This window comes from Homo sapiens, chromosome 11 (assembly GCF_000001405.40).
Source record: "Homo sapiens chromosome 11, GRCh38.p14 Primary Assembly".
NCBI lineage: Eukaryota > Metazoa > Chordata > Mammalia > Primates > Hominidae > Homo > Homo sapiens.
In genome coordinates this window covers 27,123,972-27,141,972 of record NC_000011.10, presented here as the reverse complement: position 1 = coordinate 27,141,972, position 18,001 = coordinate 27,123,972, and the positions used below count along the sequence as shown (strand labels likewise).

At 37.4% G+C, this 18,001-nt stretch overlaps 1 protein-coding gene and 1 long non-coding RNA gene across 12 annotated transcripts in view; one reads left to right on the top strand and one right to left on the bottom strand.

Annotated features, from left to right (window-relative positions):
• BBOX1-AS1 (BBOX1 antisense RNA 1) overlaps positions 1-18,001 on the top strand; it is a 172,928-nt gene that overhangs the window by 78,141 nt on the left and 76,786 nt on the right. The window lies entirely within an intron of this gene.
• The window catches only part of BBOX1 (gamma-butyrobetaine hydroxylase 1), an 86,995-nt gene continuing 83,157 nt past the window's right edge, over positions 14,164-18,001 (bottom strand). For all 9 annotated transcript variants that reach the window (NM_003986.3, NM_001376260.1, XM_047427692.1 and 6 more), the window contains 2 exons: positions 16,153-16,319; positions 14,164-14,680 (listed from right to left, as the gene is read on the bottom strand). In NM_003986.3, coding sequence (NP_003977.1) covers positions 14,520-14,680; positions 16,153-16,319 — 328 coding nt within the window. In that variant the 3' untranslated portion in view covers positions 14,164-14,519. The remainder of the gene's footprint in view (positions 14,681-16,152; positions 16,320-18,001) is intronic.

Below are 18,001 nucleotides of genomic sequence, written 5' to 3'. Positions count from 1 at the left end.
AAGCTTTCTGTTTTTTTTTCCTTCTCTATACCTTCTGGAACTCTCATAATTTGATTGTTTACATTGGTGGAGTCCCATAATTCACATATGTTTCTCCATTGCTTTTCTTTTTTTTTTCTTTTCTCTTCTGCATGGATAATTTCTAATGAGTTGTCTTCAAGCTCAAAGATTTTTCGGTTTGATCAAGTCTGTTGTGGATGCTCTCTATTGCAATTCTCATTTCATTCATTATATTTTTCAGCTTCAGAATTTCTGTTTGGTTCTTTTTAATGATTTCTGTGTGTTGGACTTCTCATTTTGTTTGTATATTCTTTCATTATTATTTTCCTGATTTCATTGAGTTATCAGCTTATCTTCCCTTAGAGCTCACAGAGCTTCCTTAAAACAATTATTTTGAATTATTTGTCCATGAAATTTTAGGTATTCATCTTTGGGTTTGTTACTACAAAATTATTGTGTCTCTTTGGTGTTGTCATCTTTCTTGATTTAAACAAAATTTTTGTTATAGTCTTGTGTTGATGTCTGCATATTTGATGGAGCCAGTTACCTCTTCCAGGTTTTATGGACTGGTTTTGGTGGGGAAGGACCTTCATCTGTGGGTAGATGTGAGGGTGCCAGCTGGGTGGAGTGTGGCAGTTACAGTTCTGGGAAAGGCCCAGTGGTATAGTATCTGTGCCTGTCTGTCACCTTTGATCAGCATCTTTGAAGATTTTAGGAGTCCTCAATGGCCAAGGCTCTGGGTATCTTCAGTAGCAGCAAGGGCTGTTGGCGTAATTGGTGGAAGGCTGCTGAGGACTTCCTGATCTCTTTTTGTTGTTGTTTGTTTCTTATGGGGGATTTCATGGCTGATGGGATTCCTCTTGGTGCCAGGTCCAGCTCATAGGTGGCATTGTGCTAGATAGCCCATTGTTTCAGTAGCTAGCCCACAGTGGTGATAGCTTCAGGGCGTGACATGCAAGTGCACATGGAACAGCCATGGAGCTGGGGTTAGGAGCATAGACACCTGTAGAATGACAGTGGCCATAGGGTCCAGGGCACAGGATAGCCAGCCCACAGTGGTTGCGGTTCCAGTGATTGAGATGGTGATACATACTGAGCAGCCATGAAGTTGGGATTGGGAGGATAGGTATGCAGGGAGAGACAGTGACTCTAGGGTCTGCGTTGCTGCTAAAGGAAAGTTAAGTGGTATCCTAGATTGTCTTAACTTAAAAGATTTTACAGGGGTACCCTGATTTAATTTTTTGCCCAATAATCCCAGTGGCAAACAACTTAGTGATGGCTTCAGATGTGAGCTTTTTCAAGCTTGAGACTAGGTCTCCCTTTGATTGCTGAGAAAGTACATTATTCATCATTACTAGAACTTTCAGCTGTTTTCAAGAAAATGTATAGGACATTCCAGAGATCATTAAATGCTAGCTTTCATGAGAGTTTCATTTCAATTCTGGTTGAATCCAGTATTTCAAGAACACTGGCTAAAATTTGAAAGCAAATTATATAAGGAAAAATAAAATCTTATAAATAAGTTTTCTTTTCCCTTGCACATTTATATTCATTACATCCTTTTTCTTCATCTGCCTTTGTCCCACCATTGGTCTGAGAATGAGGACTTAAACAACTAGGGTGGTAAGAACTGAGTTTTGCTTAGGTGTATTAAAAAAGGAAATATTATTATTTATGTCTTAAAGTGAAGCAGCATGTCTATATTCACTGCATCTTCTGCACCCTGCTACCCTGCCACCAGCTGAATAATTAGGTCTCTCTGTGTATGACTTAACCCAGAACAGTCAGGTGACAAATTCTGCAATTTTACATGAGTGTATTAAAAGGGAAACCTTGTGATTTATATCTTTATATGTATAATGAAAACTAAGCCTCTGGGTCAGCACACTGATATTTCTTAGAGAGAAGTTATAGCATTATTTAGGCTCATGAAACATCAGTGACAGTGATATTTTCCATATGGCTTGCAGAGATTGTCAAGCTTAGGTCAGGGCTTCTGCTTACATCATATACAAATAAACAAAAGTACTCATTTTGCACTCAGTATAAATGTTTCATTATTATATTGATTTCAGTAATTTGAGAGCAGTTATAATCAACATCTTCCCAGCCACATAATGGGATCATAATTATAAATGCAACTTTCTCTAAAAATAAAAGGGAGGGAAAATGTCTTCTACCTATCAAATGTGAGTTTTGGATTATTTCCAAAAGAAATATTCTACACTCAAAAGTGATACTTTACTTATTTATTCAGCAACTGTTTATTGAATGTCTGCTGGGTTCTGGGTATGCCATGTGTTGTTAATATAACTGTGCCAATGCCATCATGTTTGTCTAGGGAGGAAAAAAAATCTGGATCATTAATTATGCAGAAAACCTTTTGATTACAGTGTGGTAAATGCTTCCAAGGAAAAGTTTAGGTTATAAGGAGAGCATGTGGTAAGTGAGAGGCTGAGGAAGAAATATGACTTATTATGGCTGAAAAAAGGATCTAGTTATCAATCCCTAATGTCATAGAATAGGGTAAGCATACCCTGTCTGGATGCCTCTCATTGCTACTGACATACCAAAGGAAAATAACGGAAATCTTTGCCTGAGGAAAGTGAAACAAGTACAGACAAGGCATGGCCATTAAAGGTCCCTCAGGATTTTTTTAGTCAGAATGAAATGCTTCTTTTGGACCAGGTGATATGAATGCTATTTCTTAAAGTATGGTTCATGGACCACCCACACCCAAATCTTTTGGATGATGGTTAAATATCCAGATTCTTAGACCTAGGTCAGCTGAATCTGAATAGGTGTGGCCTAGGGGTCAGCATTTTAAATAAGCTTCCCAGGTGATTCTAATGTGTTCTGCAATTTTAGAGCTTTTGCACTGATTTAGATTCTCATAAATATTAGACCCTCAGATGACCTCTTTGCCCCTTCATGTTTGTTCTTGAATCATTTCTGGGATTGCTTCAAAGCAAATGCAAAGTAAAGCCATTGGTCAGACATTTGGAAGCATCATGGAGCCAAGCTAATTCCACATGAAATTGAAATCCTCACAGTGTGAAACAGTGGAATGAGAAATAATGTGGAATCCAAAACTTGTGTTTGAATTCTGGCTCTGTTACTCACTATGTATAGCCATGGAAAGTAATTTCTCTTCTGTGATTCTATTTGCTTGTTCATAAAATGATCAGCATTTTCCAAACTTTGGTCAATTCAGTACTACCTTCAAAATAGTACCACCTGCACTGTTAGTAGTATTTTTAAAATAGTTACTTAAGTTTAATTTTAAAAGGAGCTTTATGTAATTATTATAAATGGAAAATCAGCATCACTTACCATAATTAGAAAATTTTAACTATAAAATATATAATAAACATTTTTAAAAAGTTTAAATTCTGAAATTTTAAAATAACTATCTATTGCTAATGATATTGTTATACTTTTGGAAATAGTGAATTTAATGACATTTAAGATGATTTCATGTTTTATAGATCTAAGTATTTATTGGAGTGTAATGCAAAAGGTTATTTCATTATTTCTAGAGGGAAGGGGAATCCAAGTTTATGAAGAAATTTCTGAAAAATCAACATTGGGTGATTATCAGACAAAAATTTCATAATAAAAGTTGTAGGAAAATAATGGCTTTTCCTCTTCCTCTAAAAATGGCTTTTAAACGTTACTCAAATATTTAATTAAATGCTTACATTGGGTATGTAGCATTTAAGTAGGAAATATTTTTCTTAATAACATCTGCTAACCCCATCTGTTTCTATTTTCAAATCTTTAAAACTAAATTGGAATTAGAAAAAAATTTACAGTTTTAGCAGAAATAAAATTCCAAGTCTGTTCACAGTATACTCATTGTGCTTTCTTTAGGTTACTGGGTGGTGAGGATGGGGAAAGTTGGGAGGTGGGTGTTTGTGGTAATGAATCTGAGGGTAGTACCTTCTAAAGGGATACTTCCTAATAATTTCAGATTGTACTGTTGGGTTTTACACTGACCTGTTCACACTGCTTATCTTAATGATGGGAAGGGGCAGCTTCCATTAAGACTTGACACAGCGATCATCACTAAAGGCATTTATTATGGTTGTATACATGTTAACAAAATAATTGGTTAATTCAGTAGGAAAAAAAGGATAATCAAAACTAGCTATCACAAAGAGTAATATTGTAAAGAATAATAGCTAGTTTTGATTATCCTTTTTTTTTCCTATGAGACTGACTAATCTTATCCACTAGCAGTATTGAAGTAAAGATGAACACAAACTCATCTCATTTTGATGTGGTGTTCTACCAAACAAAATGAAAAGACTGTCTCCTCTACTGGCATAAGGGCAGAACAACCTTGCCTTTTTCAGAGACCTGTTATAAATATAAGCAAATGAATGGATTGGAAGTGTTTTTGAAAACCTGTAAAAGGCAAAAACCCAAGTAATGTTTTTTTCATCCAAGGGCTCAATAACAACTTTATAAGAATAGTTTTTTGTTTGTTTATTTGTTTGTTTTTACAGGGGATCTCAGTTACCTACAAAAATCTGATGAACTAATAATCTTTTGACTCAGAAAAACGTGTGATACATACCACATGCATAAATACATAGTACATATAATTTCAGGGTGTTCATGAACTTTCTAAAGTCAAACGCCTGAGCCTAGAATCCCACAAGAGAGCAAGATCCTGTGGTTTTATTACAATGATTGCCGTCTGATACCAACATGGTAATACTGTAGCCTGATATTAACATTATAAACATGGAAAACACTCAGTGCTATCTACTAACATTAAATGAAAGAAAGAAGTCCTGAGACTTGATCAAGGTAGTTCACGTTCTAACTAAAGCTGGCAAAAGCTGATTCTCATCAGAGACATTGACTGAAGGATTCATGTAACCAAAAACTTGAGAACCTAATTACCACTCAAGGTATAGTGATGTTTTATTTTACTTTCACTTATTTATTCTCTGATGCTCTTCGTTTTTTATGTAGATTAGAGTTTCTGGCCTACATCTTTTTCTTTCTCACTGAAGAATTTCTTTTAACATTTCTTGTAAGGCAGGTCTACTGGCCACAAATTCCCTCAATTTTTGTTTTAGAAAGTCTCTATTTCTTTATCACTGTTAAAGGATTGTTTTTCTCTGGGTACAGAATTCTAGGTTGATGTTTTTCTTTCTCTCAACACTTAAATATTTCACTTCTCTGTCTTCTTGCTTGTTTGTGTGCATGGTTTCTGAAGACTAGTATGGTGTAATTCTTATTCTTGTTTTTCTGTAGGTAAAGTGTTTTCTTCCCTCTGACTTCTAACAAGGTTTCTTTCTTTATTTTTGATTTTCAAACTTTGAATATAATATGCTTAGGTGTAGTTTTTGTTGCTATTGGGATTTATCTGGCTTGTTGTTTTCTGAAATTCTTGGATTTCTGGTTTAGCATCTGATATTAATTTGGGGAAATTAGTTATTATTGCTTCAAATACTGCTTCTGTACCTTTCCGTCTTTCTCCTCCTCATATTCCTGTTACATATCAGGGAAACCAGCCCCCAATATTTCAGTGTAGGTTCTTTTCTATTTTCCCTAAGGGTCAACCGGTCTGAGAAATAAAGAGTACAAAGAGAAAAATTTTACAGCTGGGCCTCTGGGGGTGACATCATGTATCGGCAGTTTCTGTGGAGCCCACCTGAGCTGCAAAACCAGCAAGTTTTTATTAGGGATTTCAAAAAGGGAGGGGTGTACGAATAGGGAGTAGGTCACAGGGATCACATGCTTCAGAGGGCAATAAAAGATCACAAGGCAGAGGGTGAAATTAGAATTACTGATGAGGTTCCATGTCCCGCTGGGCACGTATTGTCTTGATAAACATCTTAACAGGAAACAGGGTTTGAGAGCAGACAACCGGACTGACTAGAATTCACCAGGCTGGAATTTCCCAATCCTGGTAAGCCTGAGTGCACTTCAGGAGACGAGGGCGTATTTCATCCCTTATCTTCAACCACATAAGACAGACAGTCCCAGAGCGGCCATCTGTAGACCTACCCCTGGGAATGCATTCCTTCCCCAGGATTATTCCTTGCTGGGAAAAAATTCAGCGATATTTCTCCTATTTGCTTTCTGCAAGAAGACAAATATGACTGTGTTCTGCCAGGCCCCGCAGGCAGTCAGACCTTATGGTTATCTCCCTTGTTCCCTGAAAATTGCTGTTATCCTGTTCTTTTTCAGGATGCCCAGATTTCATATCATTCAAACACACATGTTTTACAAACAATTTGTAAAGATAACACAATCATCACAGGGTCCTGAGGCGACACACATCCTCAGCTTACAAACATGATGGGATTAAGAGATTAAAGTAAAGACAGGCATAGGAAATTATAAGAGTATTGATTGGGGAAGTGATAAATGTCCATGAAATCTTCACAATTTATGTTCAGAGATAGCAGTAAAGACAGGTGTAAGAAATTATAAAAGTATTAATTTGGGGAACTAATAAATGTCCATGAAATCTTCATAATTTATGTTTTTCTGCCACAGCTTCAGCTGGTCCCTCTGTTCAGGGTCCCTGACTTCCCACAACAGTTACACATTATGCCTTTTGTAGTTGTCCCACAGTTCCTGGATATTCTGTTCTGTTTTTTTTTTTTTTTTATAAGTTTTTTCTCTTTATTTTTCAGTTTGGGAAGTTTCTATTGTTATGTCCTCTAACTCAGAGATTTTTTTTCCTCAGTCACGTCCAGTTTACTAATGAACCCATCAAAGGTGTTATACATTTCTGTTATAGTTGTTTTTATCTCCAGTATTTCTTTTTGATTCTATGAATTTCCATCTCTCTCTTTACATTATCCATCTGTGCTTGCATGCTGCCTACTTTTTTTCTGTTACAAGGACATATTAATCATAAAAAAATTCCTGGTCTAATAGTTCCAACATTTCTGCCATATCTGACTCACCATTTATTGAAGAGACTATCATTACCCCATGTGTGTTCTTGGGGTCCTTGTCAAAGATTTGTTGACCATATGTGTCTGGGTTTATTTCTGGACTTTGTGTTATGTTCTGTTCATCAATATGTCTGTTTTTATGCCAGTACCATACTGTTTTGATTACATAATTTTGTAAGAGAGTGTGAAATCAGGAAGTGTGATATTTCCAGCTTTGTTTTTCTTATTCAAGATTGCTTTGGCTATTTAGGGCCTTTTGTTGCTACCTATGAATTTTAGGATTGTTTTTAGTGTTTGTGTCTTCTTTAATATTTATTTCTTTCATCAATGTCTTACAGTTTTCAGTACACAGATCTCTTACCTCTTTGGTTAAGTTCATTCTTAAGTGTTTTATTATTTTTAGTGCTGTTGTAAATAGGACTATCTTCTTAATTTATTTTTCAGATAGTTCATTATTAGTGTACAGAAATGTGACTAATTTTTTTGTATGCTGATTTTGTATCCTGAAAATTTACTATATTTATTTATTAATTGTAACAATTTTTATGTGACATCTTTAGGGTTTTCTTTGTATAAGATCATGTCATTTACATGAGGAAACAGTTTAACTTTTTTCATCTTGTCTAAGTATAGTCAACCTTGTTCTCTTTTGGTTACCATTTGCATGTAATATTATTTTCATCTCTTCACTTAAAGCCTGTGTATGTCCTTGAAGGTAAATTGAGTCTCTGCTAGGTAACATATAGTTGTGTCCTGTTATTTAATTGATTCAGTAACTCAATGTATTTTAGAGTATTTAATCAATTTACACTTAAAGTAATTATTGATAGGTAAAAAACGACTGCCATTTTAAAAAATTGTTTTCTGTTCGTAGTTATTTTTTCCTCTTTTTCTGTCTTCCTTTGTGATGTGATGATTATCTATAGGCATATGCTTTGATTCTAGAGGTTTTCTTTGTGGATACCATGAGGCTTGCATAAAGTACCTTACAGGTATAACAGTCTATTTTTTAAACTGATAGCTTCAATTACATATTAAAATTCTACACTTTTACTTTACCCCTCACATTTTATGTTATTGATATGCTTTTAAAAAATATTCTGTATCTATTAATAAATTATTATAGCTGTAAACATTTTTAATACTTTTATCTTTTAACTTTTATACTGGGTTTAAAAATGACTTATGCACCACTATTATAGTATTCAAATATTCCAAATTTGACCATATATTTGCCTTTGCCAATGAATTTTATACTTTCTTATGTTTTCATGTTGTTACTTAGTGTCCTTTCATTTCACCTTGAAGATCTCCCTTTAGCATGTTTTGTAGTCTGGTCTAGTGGTGATGAATTTTCTCAGCTTCTGTTTTTCTAGGAATGACATGTTTGCCTCTATTCACTTTATCTCTTCTTCATTTCTGAAGGACAGCTTTGATGGGTATAGTATTCATGATTGATATCTCCCTCACACCCCCTGCCAGCCCCAATACTTTGAATATGTCATCCCACTCTCTCCTGGCCTGTAAGACTTCTGCTAGGAGTCTGCTGATAGCTTTATGGAGGTTCCCTTGTCAGCTGCAGTTGCTGTTCTCTTGCTGGTTTCAAGATTCTCTCTTTGTCTTTGATTTTTGACAATTTGATTATAATGTATATTGGTGTAATCTTCTTTGAGCTAATGTTGCTTGAGCCTCATGATTATGGATAGCCATATTCCTACCAAGATTTGGGAAGTTTTCAGACATTATTTATTTAAATAAGCTTTCTACTGCTCTTATTCTTCTCCTTCTTGGACTCCCACAATGCATATGTTTGTTTGCTTGATGCTGTCCTTTAGGTCCCATATGCTCCCTTCCTTCTTTTCCATTCTTTTTTTCTGTTGTTGTTGTTGTTGTTGTTGTTCCTCTCATTGGATAATTTCAGGTGACTTGTCTTCAAGTATCCTGATTCTTTAGCACTATTGAGTAAGCTGGTGAAGCTGTCTATTGCTTTTGCAACTCTGTCATTGTGTTCTTTAGTTCAGGTTTTCTTTTTAGGTCTTTTTTTTTACGGTTTCCATTTCTTTATTAAACATCTAATTTTGTTCATGTATTTTATTCCTGATTTTGTTTAGTTGTCTATCCTGTCTTCTTGCATCTTGTCAAGCTTCTTTTAGATGATTACTTTGTGTTATTTATCAGAAAATTGATAGATCTTCATTTCTCTGGGGTCGAGTACTAAAACTTTAATTTCCTTTAGTGATGACATATTCGCCTCCATTACTGTGGTTCATCAAGCCTTGCACTGGTGTCTGCGCATTTGAAGGAGCAAACGCCTTTTCCAATTTTTACAGACTGGGTTTGGCAGGTAAAGACCTTTTCCTGTTGGGTCCTTTCCCTGATGGGATTGCCTCTAGGATCACAGTTGTGTAGGATTGGGGTCAGTTTACATGGCTGCTGATTGGTCTATCATGGGTTCAGTGATTGGTTGGCCTATTACCAGAGCTGGTCAGATATGGATCCTGTCTGGTCCCTGGGTAGACTGGACTGCCTCCATGACCTGGGTCAGTAAGATTGCAGCCGGGACAGGACCTACTTCAGGGTCTGCAGCAGTTAGGTTCATGGACAGCTGGCATGCTATCTGGTTTACAGACAATTCTGGCTCTTGCCAGGCCCCTTGGATGGCTCTTACCAGGTTACTAGGTAGGTTTCTGGGTGGGTTCTTTGGCAGGGTGGCTTGGAATCAAGTTATAGTACTGCTTCAGAGTCTATATCTGAGAGTGTAGCCTGTATGTCTGCCTCCAGGTGTACGGATATGTATGCCACCTGCTGGGCTCATGGGAGCCATTTTCTAGGGCTACTTCAGGATATGTAGTCTGACTGAAGTTGGCAGATCTGCTTCTTGGGACATGAATGGGTATGTCTTTTGGCAGGTCACTGCAGAGGAGGACCATTCTTGGTCTGCAACTGAAAGGGGCTAGAGCCAAGTTGCAGGGTTGTTTCAAGATCTGCTATGGGATTGAGGTAGGAAAGTCTGCCTCCAGGGGCATGGATCCTGGTGGGTCACAAGACTGGAGATGGGTCACAGGCTGCTTCAGTGTCCTCAGCTGACTGTGGTCAGCAGGCCTGTTATCTAAGGCACGGAGTGGGGGTGTGACTTCTCCTGGGTCCCTTGGCAGATGGTACTGCTGGCAAGACCAATGCTAAACAGGTGTGTATCTAAGTCCATAGGAAGTTGGGGGCTGTTTTGGGGTCTTTAGCTGGTACCATGGTCAGTGAGCCCTACACCTGGGTGTAGACTTGCCTTTTCAAAACAGCCCTGTTTGGTCTTGAGCTTCACTGGATTTCAAACCGCCTATGTGGTTCCCAAAGCTTCTACAAATGCACTTTTGTCTGTTGATGGCTGCCAAATTATAGTTGCTGTGGAGGGATATGAGTGGGAAACCTCCGGCTTTATCATCTTGCGGACCAATCTTAGGCTGAACTTTGAAGGAAGAAGGGGAGTTTTCCAGGCATAAAGGGTTGTAGAGCAGGGTATTCCAGACAGCTGGAAAAAATGTGCAGAGACTCAGAGGTATGCTCCAAACCATAAAGTCCAACCAAATTACATTTTCATTGCAAGAAATTTTGGTTGACATCCCTCCTCAAAATGTTATTTAACATAAAGGAATATTTTTGTTTATAAAATACCTCTTGTTTCACAGTTTAAATTCCTGAAGAGAAATTACCCTCAGCATCACTCTGTTTTTCTATAGAATTTCTTTTTTTGTTTAAATTCTTTATACCAATATTCTTTTGCCTGCCCTTTAGTGGTTGACTGGGGAGAGAAGTAGAGACCAATGAAAATACTTTGTGACATGTAATTCTGGTGACCTGTGGAGTCATTTTGATGAACTAGCCAAGTAGCTAACATTCTCCAAGTCAAATCAGAGAAATGGAACAGAGAGTAAGAATCCATACTGCCAAATAAGGGTAAATTCTAATCCAACTTACATCAGGTCTATTATGAGGTTGGGGAGAAGTCAAATCTTTAGACAATTATATCCAGGAAACCTAATCATCTTCAGTTAGCACCAGCTGCTGTAGCCCATAATATGTCATGTCCTATATAACACTTTAGAAATTGTTTAACTGCATCCAAACCTTCTGTGTCTCCTTTCCAGGACAGAAATAATATTTGCAATAGAAAAGGAAACAGTCAGGCCATGGAGTAGTGGCTTGGAATGCTGTTTTTTTAGAGACAAAATATAATATGTAAGAGATATTTCGGATTTTGAATATAAGCCTTCTCTGATTCTGAGTGTAACTGATTCTATAAGCTAGGCCAATATCATTAGCTTATCATCCAACCATTAGGGATGTGACTTTGGTCACATCACTAAATGTCTCCAGGAAAACATAAGATGATTTCAACTACCATCTATATACTTTCCAAGTGTAGATCTCTAATTCAGATTTCTGTTCCGTAGTCTATGTGCACATATATCCAACTGTCAGATGGAATAGCTCAGTGGCAACTCAATCTCAGTTTGTTCGAAATCGATTTTATTGCTGAACAAGCTTGATCCTACTATTGTGGCTTCTTTTCCCTGTGCACAACCCATTTCTCCTAACTATAAACCCATAAGACAACAAGCTAGACTCTCCCTCATTCTTTACATGCAGTGGGTCAAGTCCTCTAGATTTTGCTTTCTATGTATCTCTCGATTCCCTCTTCCAGTGTTCTAATTCAGTGCTCCTTAATTTTGCATCTGGCTTCCTGTAGTTACCTCATAAATAGTTTTATGACCTTCTTTCTTGCCTGTTTACAATTCCCTTCACCATGAAGCTAGATGAATCCTTAAGAAATGAATATCTAATCAAGGCACTTTGCTCCTTAAAAACCTTTAAATGGTTCCTAATTGCTTTCAAGATAAAATACTAACTCCTTAATGTAACATGCATTTAGACATTTCATGACTTGATCATTGTTTCTGTTTCCAGCTTCATATATCCCTTCTCATACTAAATCACCCTCTTCCTCTGCAAATTCTGCTTTTATAACTAATTTATAGTTAATATCTATTGAGTACTAACCCTGATCCTGGAACTATGCTAAATGTCTTATATCAGTATTTTCCAAACTTCACTGATGATGAATATCACCTGGGATCCTTGCTAAAAATATAATTCCTGGTCCTCATCCCAGACCCATTGAATCATAATCCTCAGGGAATGATCTGGGAAGATGTATTTTTTAAAAAAGCACCATGGGTGTGACTTATCATCTGAGAAATTTGAGAAAACACTGCTTTACATGAACTTTCATTTAATCCTCATAAAAATGTAATGGGATAAGAACTGTTATTAGTTTCATTTATAGATAGAAATAATGAGGCTTAAGGGGAACAGTAACAGTTATTTGTCCAAAGACACGTGGTTTGAACCTAGGCATACAACCCCAGAATTCACATTACATCGTAATCTATTTCTTTCACTTGTAAGTCAACACATGCCATGTTTCTACTCTCAATTCTCTGTGCCTCTTCTACCCTTTAACTTGGAGTTTTATTTCACCATCTTTGCCTGGAAAACTACTATGAACCTTTATAATTCAACTTAGACTGAAGGTTTTCTTAGCATTCCCAGTCTGGTTTGGTTGCCTTCCTGAGGGTCATTCTGTTAACACAGCACATTATAATCTATATCCTTATCTGCTCCCCTACCAGACTCTAAGAAGGTAAATTTCATGTCCTTTGGTATTCTTATTTTAGCAGAGTGCCTGACATATATCAGATATGTGATAAATATCTGTTAAATAAGTAAAAGTATAAGAAGTCACTTTAGCTGGGCAAGTGCCTTGGGTTTAGATGCTATGAATGGATGAATCTAGGGTCACTCCAGCAAATTATTTGTTTTTAGGTATTGAATGTTGCGTTTTAGAATCAGGCCATGCATCTCGAATTTACTTGTTTTTATTCTAGGAGCATTTTAGGAGGTATGGGATTGAGAACCCAACTCATTCCCTTTGTGGTTCAAAGGAATCAAACATGTGATATACTACAGTAGCCCAAATCAAGACCAGATGATAGAAAAGGACAATGAGGACCCCAGAAAGGGGTAGTGTTATAAGGGAAGGAGGAGTCTTGGCTGGAGATGTGGACTTCATACCAGAATTCAAAGTGTCCGAGTGGTGTGCCCACACAGGCTAAAGGTAGTCTTCATCTAGACTCCCTGTGCCATGGGCGCACTTTGTGGAAATTGAAATGGATGTGCAGCAAAAGTCAAAACAACAATGGAAGTAATGTTTTCTACTTGGTCTGGAGGCAACAAGTAGAGAGCTCTGCAGTGGTGGCAATAATTAAGACTTTTCGAACAGGAAGCTTGATTAGGTCCAAAAATCTATGAACTACCAGGATTTCAGCAAATGGTAATGCTAAGTCTTCTTGGCAGGGATAGAGAGAGACTGGATTCAATAAGAATAGGAATTCCATTGCTGGCAGTGACACCTGTGTTCCATCACTAGGGCAAGGCAGTGACTATGGAGGAAGCTGGGACCAGCAGGGAAAGCTGTCCAGAGATTTGCAGACATCGTGTTATTCATAAGTAGTACCTGTCTCTTGGTTTTACCTTGTCCAGTTGTTAGTCAAAAACAAGAAATGAGGAGATCTGATTCGTAGACACATGGAAGCAATGCTGACAGCGGTTGGGAGTATTTATTTGGGACAAGATAAAATTAGACGAGGCTGAGTGCAGTGGCTCACTCCTGTAAGCCCAGCACTTTGGGAGGTTGAGGCCGGTGGATCACCTGAGGTCAAGAGTTTGAGATCAGCCAGGCCAACATGGTGAAATCCTGTCTCTACTAAAAACACAAAAAATTCGCTGGGTGCGGTGGCAGGCACCTGTAATCCCAGCTACCCAGGAGGCTTAGGCAGGAGAGTTGCTTCAACCCCGGAGGTGGAGGTTGCAGTGATCTGAGATAGCGCCATTGCACTCCAGCCTTGGCAACAAGAGTGAAACTCTGTCTAAAAAAAAAAAAAAAAAAAAAAAAAGTGAGACTAGATTTTCTCTTTATTAATCATGCTTTGTTTAGATGTCATAATTTAGGTAGTAAAAGAAAATGTTGGAATCACTAAATTGGCAAGGTCTGGAAATTTGGATAAAAGAATTCTATAATAAAAGTGCATAAAACAGATCTTTGGAAATATAAAACCTTTTCCAAGCATGCTAAAGATGGTCGTGTGCAGTCTTGGAAAATGAGATCCTATAGGCAACAGGGTAGAAGCATGTTTTGAGACAAGTTTTATTTGAAACAAAAGGCTTATTTGAAGAAATTTTCATTTGCTACAAAAACTATTTGTAGACATTCTGGAGATACTCATATATGGGCAAAAGAAATTAGAGCAGGCATGCAACAGAGCAGAAAGGATGCTTTATTTGCAAAAGAGTGGTGAAACATCTAAAAAGTTGACATTGTATATGATTACAAAGTAAAGAGTACTCTTGTGAGAGAAGTTACATGTTCATTGTTAAGGAAATTATATGTAAATCACAAAGATCATGGTCTGTGAATAATGTGCCATATCTCACAAAATATGGTCATTGGAATCTTATTAAAATTATCTACAGGTGACTTCAGTTTCCATTCTCCACCCTCTGCCTTAAGATACGAAGCCTTGACATGACCACATCCCAGTCAGCATAAGCTCCTTCTAGATGGCGGGATATCTCAGTTCCTGCTTCATAGCTACGTCGGCCATGAAGTAAGCGCCAGTTATCAAAAGTAATCACATCACCTAAAGAAAAGATTTTTTCCAATATGAATAATTGTGTGTTTAAATGACTTACAGAGCTAGAAAATGTAACATGCAAAACACAGCTGCTGCTTGGTTCACATCAAGAATCATCGCTTATTTCTTTACATGAAACTGCACATTTACTTTTCCACACAAATCAGGCCACTGGATGCAAACTGCTTTAGACCTTATGACAATTAAACTACCTAGCCTGGTAGTCTCCTGAAGGTATTTTAATCATTCTTATTTAAAATATTATCTCTGTGTAAAACATCTGTATCGTTTTGACTGATCGATACCTCATTAGAAATGTTTCTTCTGCCGGGCGCGGTGGCTCACGCCTGTAATCCCGGCACTTTGGGAGGCCGAGGTGGGCGGATCACGAGGTCAGCAGATCTAGACCATCCTGGCTAACATGGTGAAACCCTGTCTCTACTAAAAATAGAAAAAATTAGCCAGGCGTGGTGGCAGTGCCTGTAGTCCCAGATACTCAGGAGGCTGAGGCAGGAGAATGGCGTGAACCCGGGAGGCGGAGCTTGCAGTGAGCCGAGATCACGCCACTGTACTCCAGCCTGGGCGACAGAGCAAGACTCCGTCTCAAAAAAAAAAAAAAAAGAAAAAAAAGAAATGTTTCTTCTCAGTTTAACAGCTTCAGAAAATAAAAAGGATAGTGAAATTCTTAGTTTGTCTTCTGTGTGCCTAGTATTTTATGCCACATTATTTCTAAGCCTCATAAGAATCCTGAAAAGAAAGTATTCTCTCATCTTTTCACACATGAAGAAACCGAAGCTTTAAAAAATTGAGGAATTTACCCAAAACTACACTGCCATTAAATAGTCGAAGCTTGGATTCTAACTTGTATTTTTTGTATTTTTTCCCCCTATAATGTTTTCATTTTACATGTTGCCATTTTTAAAATTAACCTGCTGTGACTGCATGGCAGTGGATTTATGGAGATTCCTATTAACTTATTATACCAAAGATCAATTAAAAATATATACAAAGGAAAAGAATCTTCCATCTGGCCAAACCGACAGCAGAGAGAAATTACACCTTTTATTGTAGATGCCAAAAGCCTCAGGTTTGATGGCACTTTACTGAGTAGAGATGGTCCAGAAAAAATATAATGCTTTCTGCTTTTTTTATCTCAAGTAACTGGAATACTTTAGGTACTACTTTATTTCAGGTAGTACTGTCTCCACTAGTAAAGCCTAATGAGTAAGCATCACTTGTGTGTGTTAGAGTAAGAATCATGAGGATATTTCTATTTGTTTATCAGGATAAAATAATTAAGCATAAACCTCAATGAGGGCCACGAGTCCACTACATAAGCAAGTCAGTTGCTCACCAAGATTCTGTTGTTGGTGTTCTACATGCCATACCTGAGAAAAACTGCTCTGGATATAATTCTAGGTGGTTAAGGTTGAAGAAAATCCATGCTTTTGGTTATTTGAGAAAATGTATTCACTGACCTGGATTCATCTTGAAGGTAAACTTGGATTCTTTGCTGTTCATGAGGTCAACAAACTCCTTCAGAGCAGCATAAAAAGGCTGAACTCTTTCAACAGGCACATCAAATATTGTGTCCCTAGTTGCGTTATTGAAGTTGATGCGAACCACTTGGCCTTTATCATCTAACCTGTTTTATTAAGAGAAAAAATTAATATATAATTCATGAAATATCTATTTACATTGATAAGAGTCAATTCCTCTTCAAATATATTTTTGAAACACCATATTAAAAAATCCAAATACATGTACAGAAGATATTAAGGCTACCTGTGGTGCAATGTATTCTCTTTTTTTTCATTCATTCATTTAGATTTTTTTTCTAAATCTTACTACCTCAGTACCAGGAGAACTCAACTTAAATTAAAATAAGTATTACTGAGAGATTCAAGTTAAAAATTTTGTTATGCTTAGTTAAAGTCATTCATTCTTTGTTATTTGAAACAGGTATTAAAATCCTTTCATGTTACAAATTTATAGGTCAATTGTTCTATGTGTTTCATTTATTAAGGTTCTAAGTATGATGGTTTTATTTGAGGGTATGATGGGAAGAAAATTCTATTTTTTAAATAGTTTGAAATGCATGATTCTAATTCAATCCTTAGTTTACAGGTGGGAAAACCAAAGCATGAGAAAAGAAGGGACTAGCCTGAGGTATATTCTTTCTATCTATTTACTCATCCTACCTATCTTAGTATTGAGTCTTCCAGAAGATGGTGCTGTATCTCATTTAATGTTGTATTCCTAGCACTCAACATAGAGCCTGGACATAACAGACAGTTAATAAATGTTTGTTGCACATATCACTCTCTATATTTTTTAGTACCTTGGGAGGGCACTAAGGTTTTTATTTTTAGTAATTTGAGAGCTCTTAATGTTGTGATCTCTATTCTCTTTCTCAAAATATGGATTATGACCATGCCAATGTAAGATAATACAGCATTTAATATAAAGAAAGAAGGCCGGGCACGGTGGCTCACACCTGTAATCCCTGCCTCCCTTGGGAGGCCAAGGTGGGCGAGGCAGTTGAGGTCAGGAGCTCGAGGACAGCCTGGCCAACATGGCAAAACCCTGTCTCTATTAAAAGTACAGAAAAAATAAAAAGCTGGGCATGGTGGCCCATGCTTGTAATCCCAGCTACTTGGGTGTGGTGGCAGGCACCTGCTTGAACCTAGGTGGCAGAGGTTGCAGTGAGCGGAGATCGCACCACGACACTCCAGCATGGAAAACAGAATATGACTCTGTCTCAAAAAAATAAATTAATAAATAAATAAGGAAAGCACATTATTTCTTAGATTTGAGCTTTGGTGGTTATAATTAGCAAGACATGAACATCACCCAGATACAGAGGCAAAAAGAGGAAACTCTTTTGTAGCTTATTGGGAAGGTGGACCTTCAGACGATCTTAAAGTGTCAGTCAACTTTATCTTTTCTTTAGGTAGAAACAGGATGAATGCATGCAAACTGAAGGTGACCAAGGATGGTGGCAAAGTACCTAGGATTACTCCTGGGAGCAGCATCCTAGAAGGACAAGTGCAGGAAGTGCTAATGAGAGCCAACAACTGACCAGGGCCAAGGCTTGGTCGGTCAGACCAAACACACATACACCTGGGTTTGGTGACCCTGGTTTGGGGTCTGGGTTACATTTAGTGAATATTATCAACAAATGGGGAAAGATGCCATTGACAGTGAAGTACAAATTGTGATGATCAGGGCCCCTTGTGCATGGTGGCTCTGAGCCAAACGGCAATTGTAATGGTAAACTCAACAGTTGGTGATTAGCACCAATTCTTTGCTTATTGGGTAAGGCCT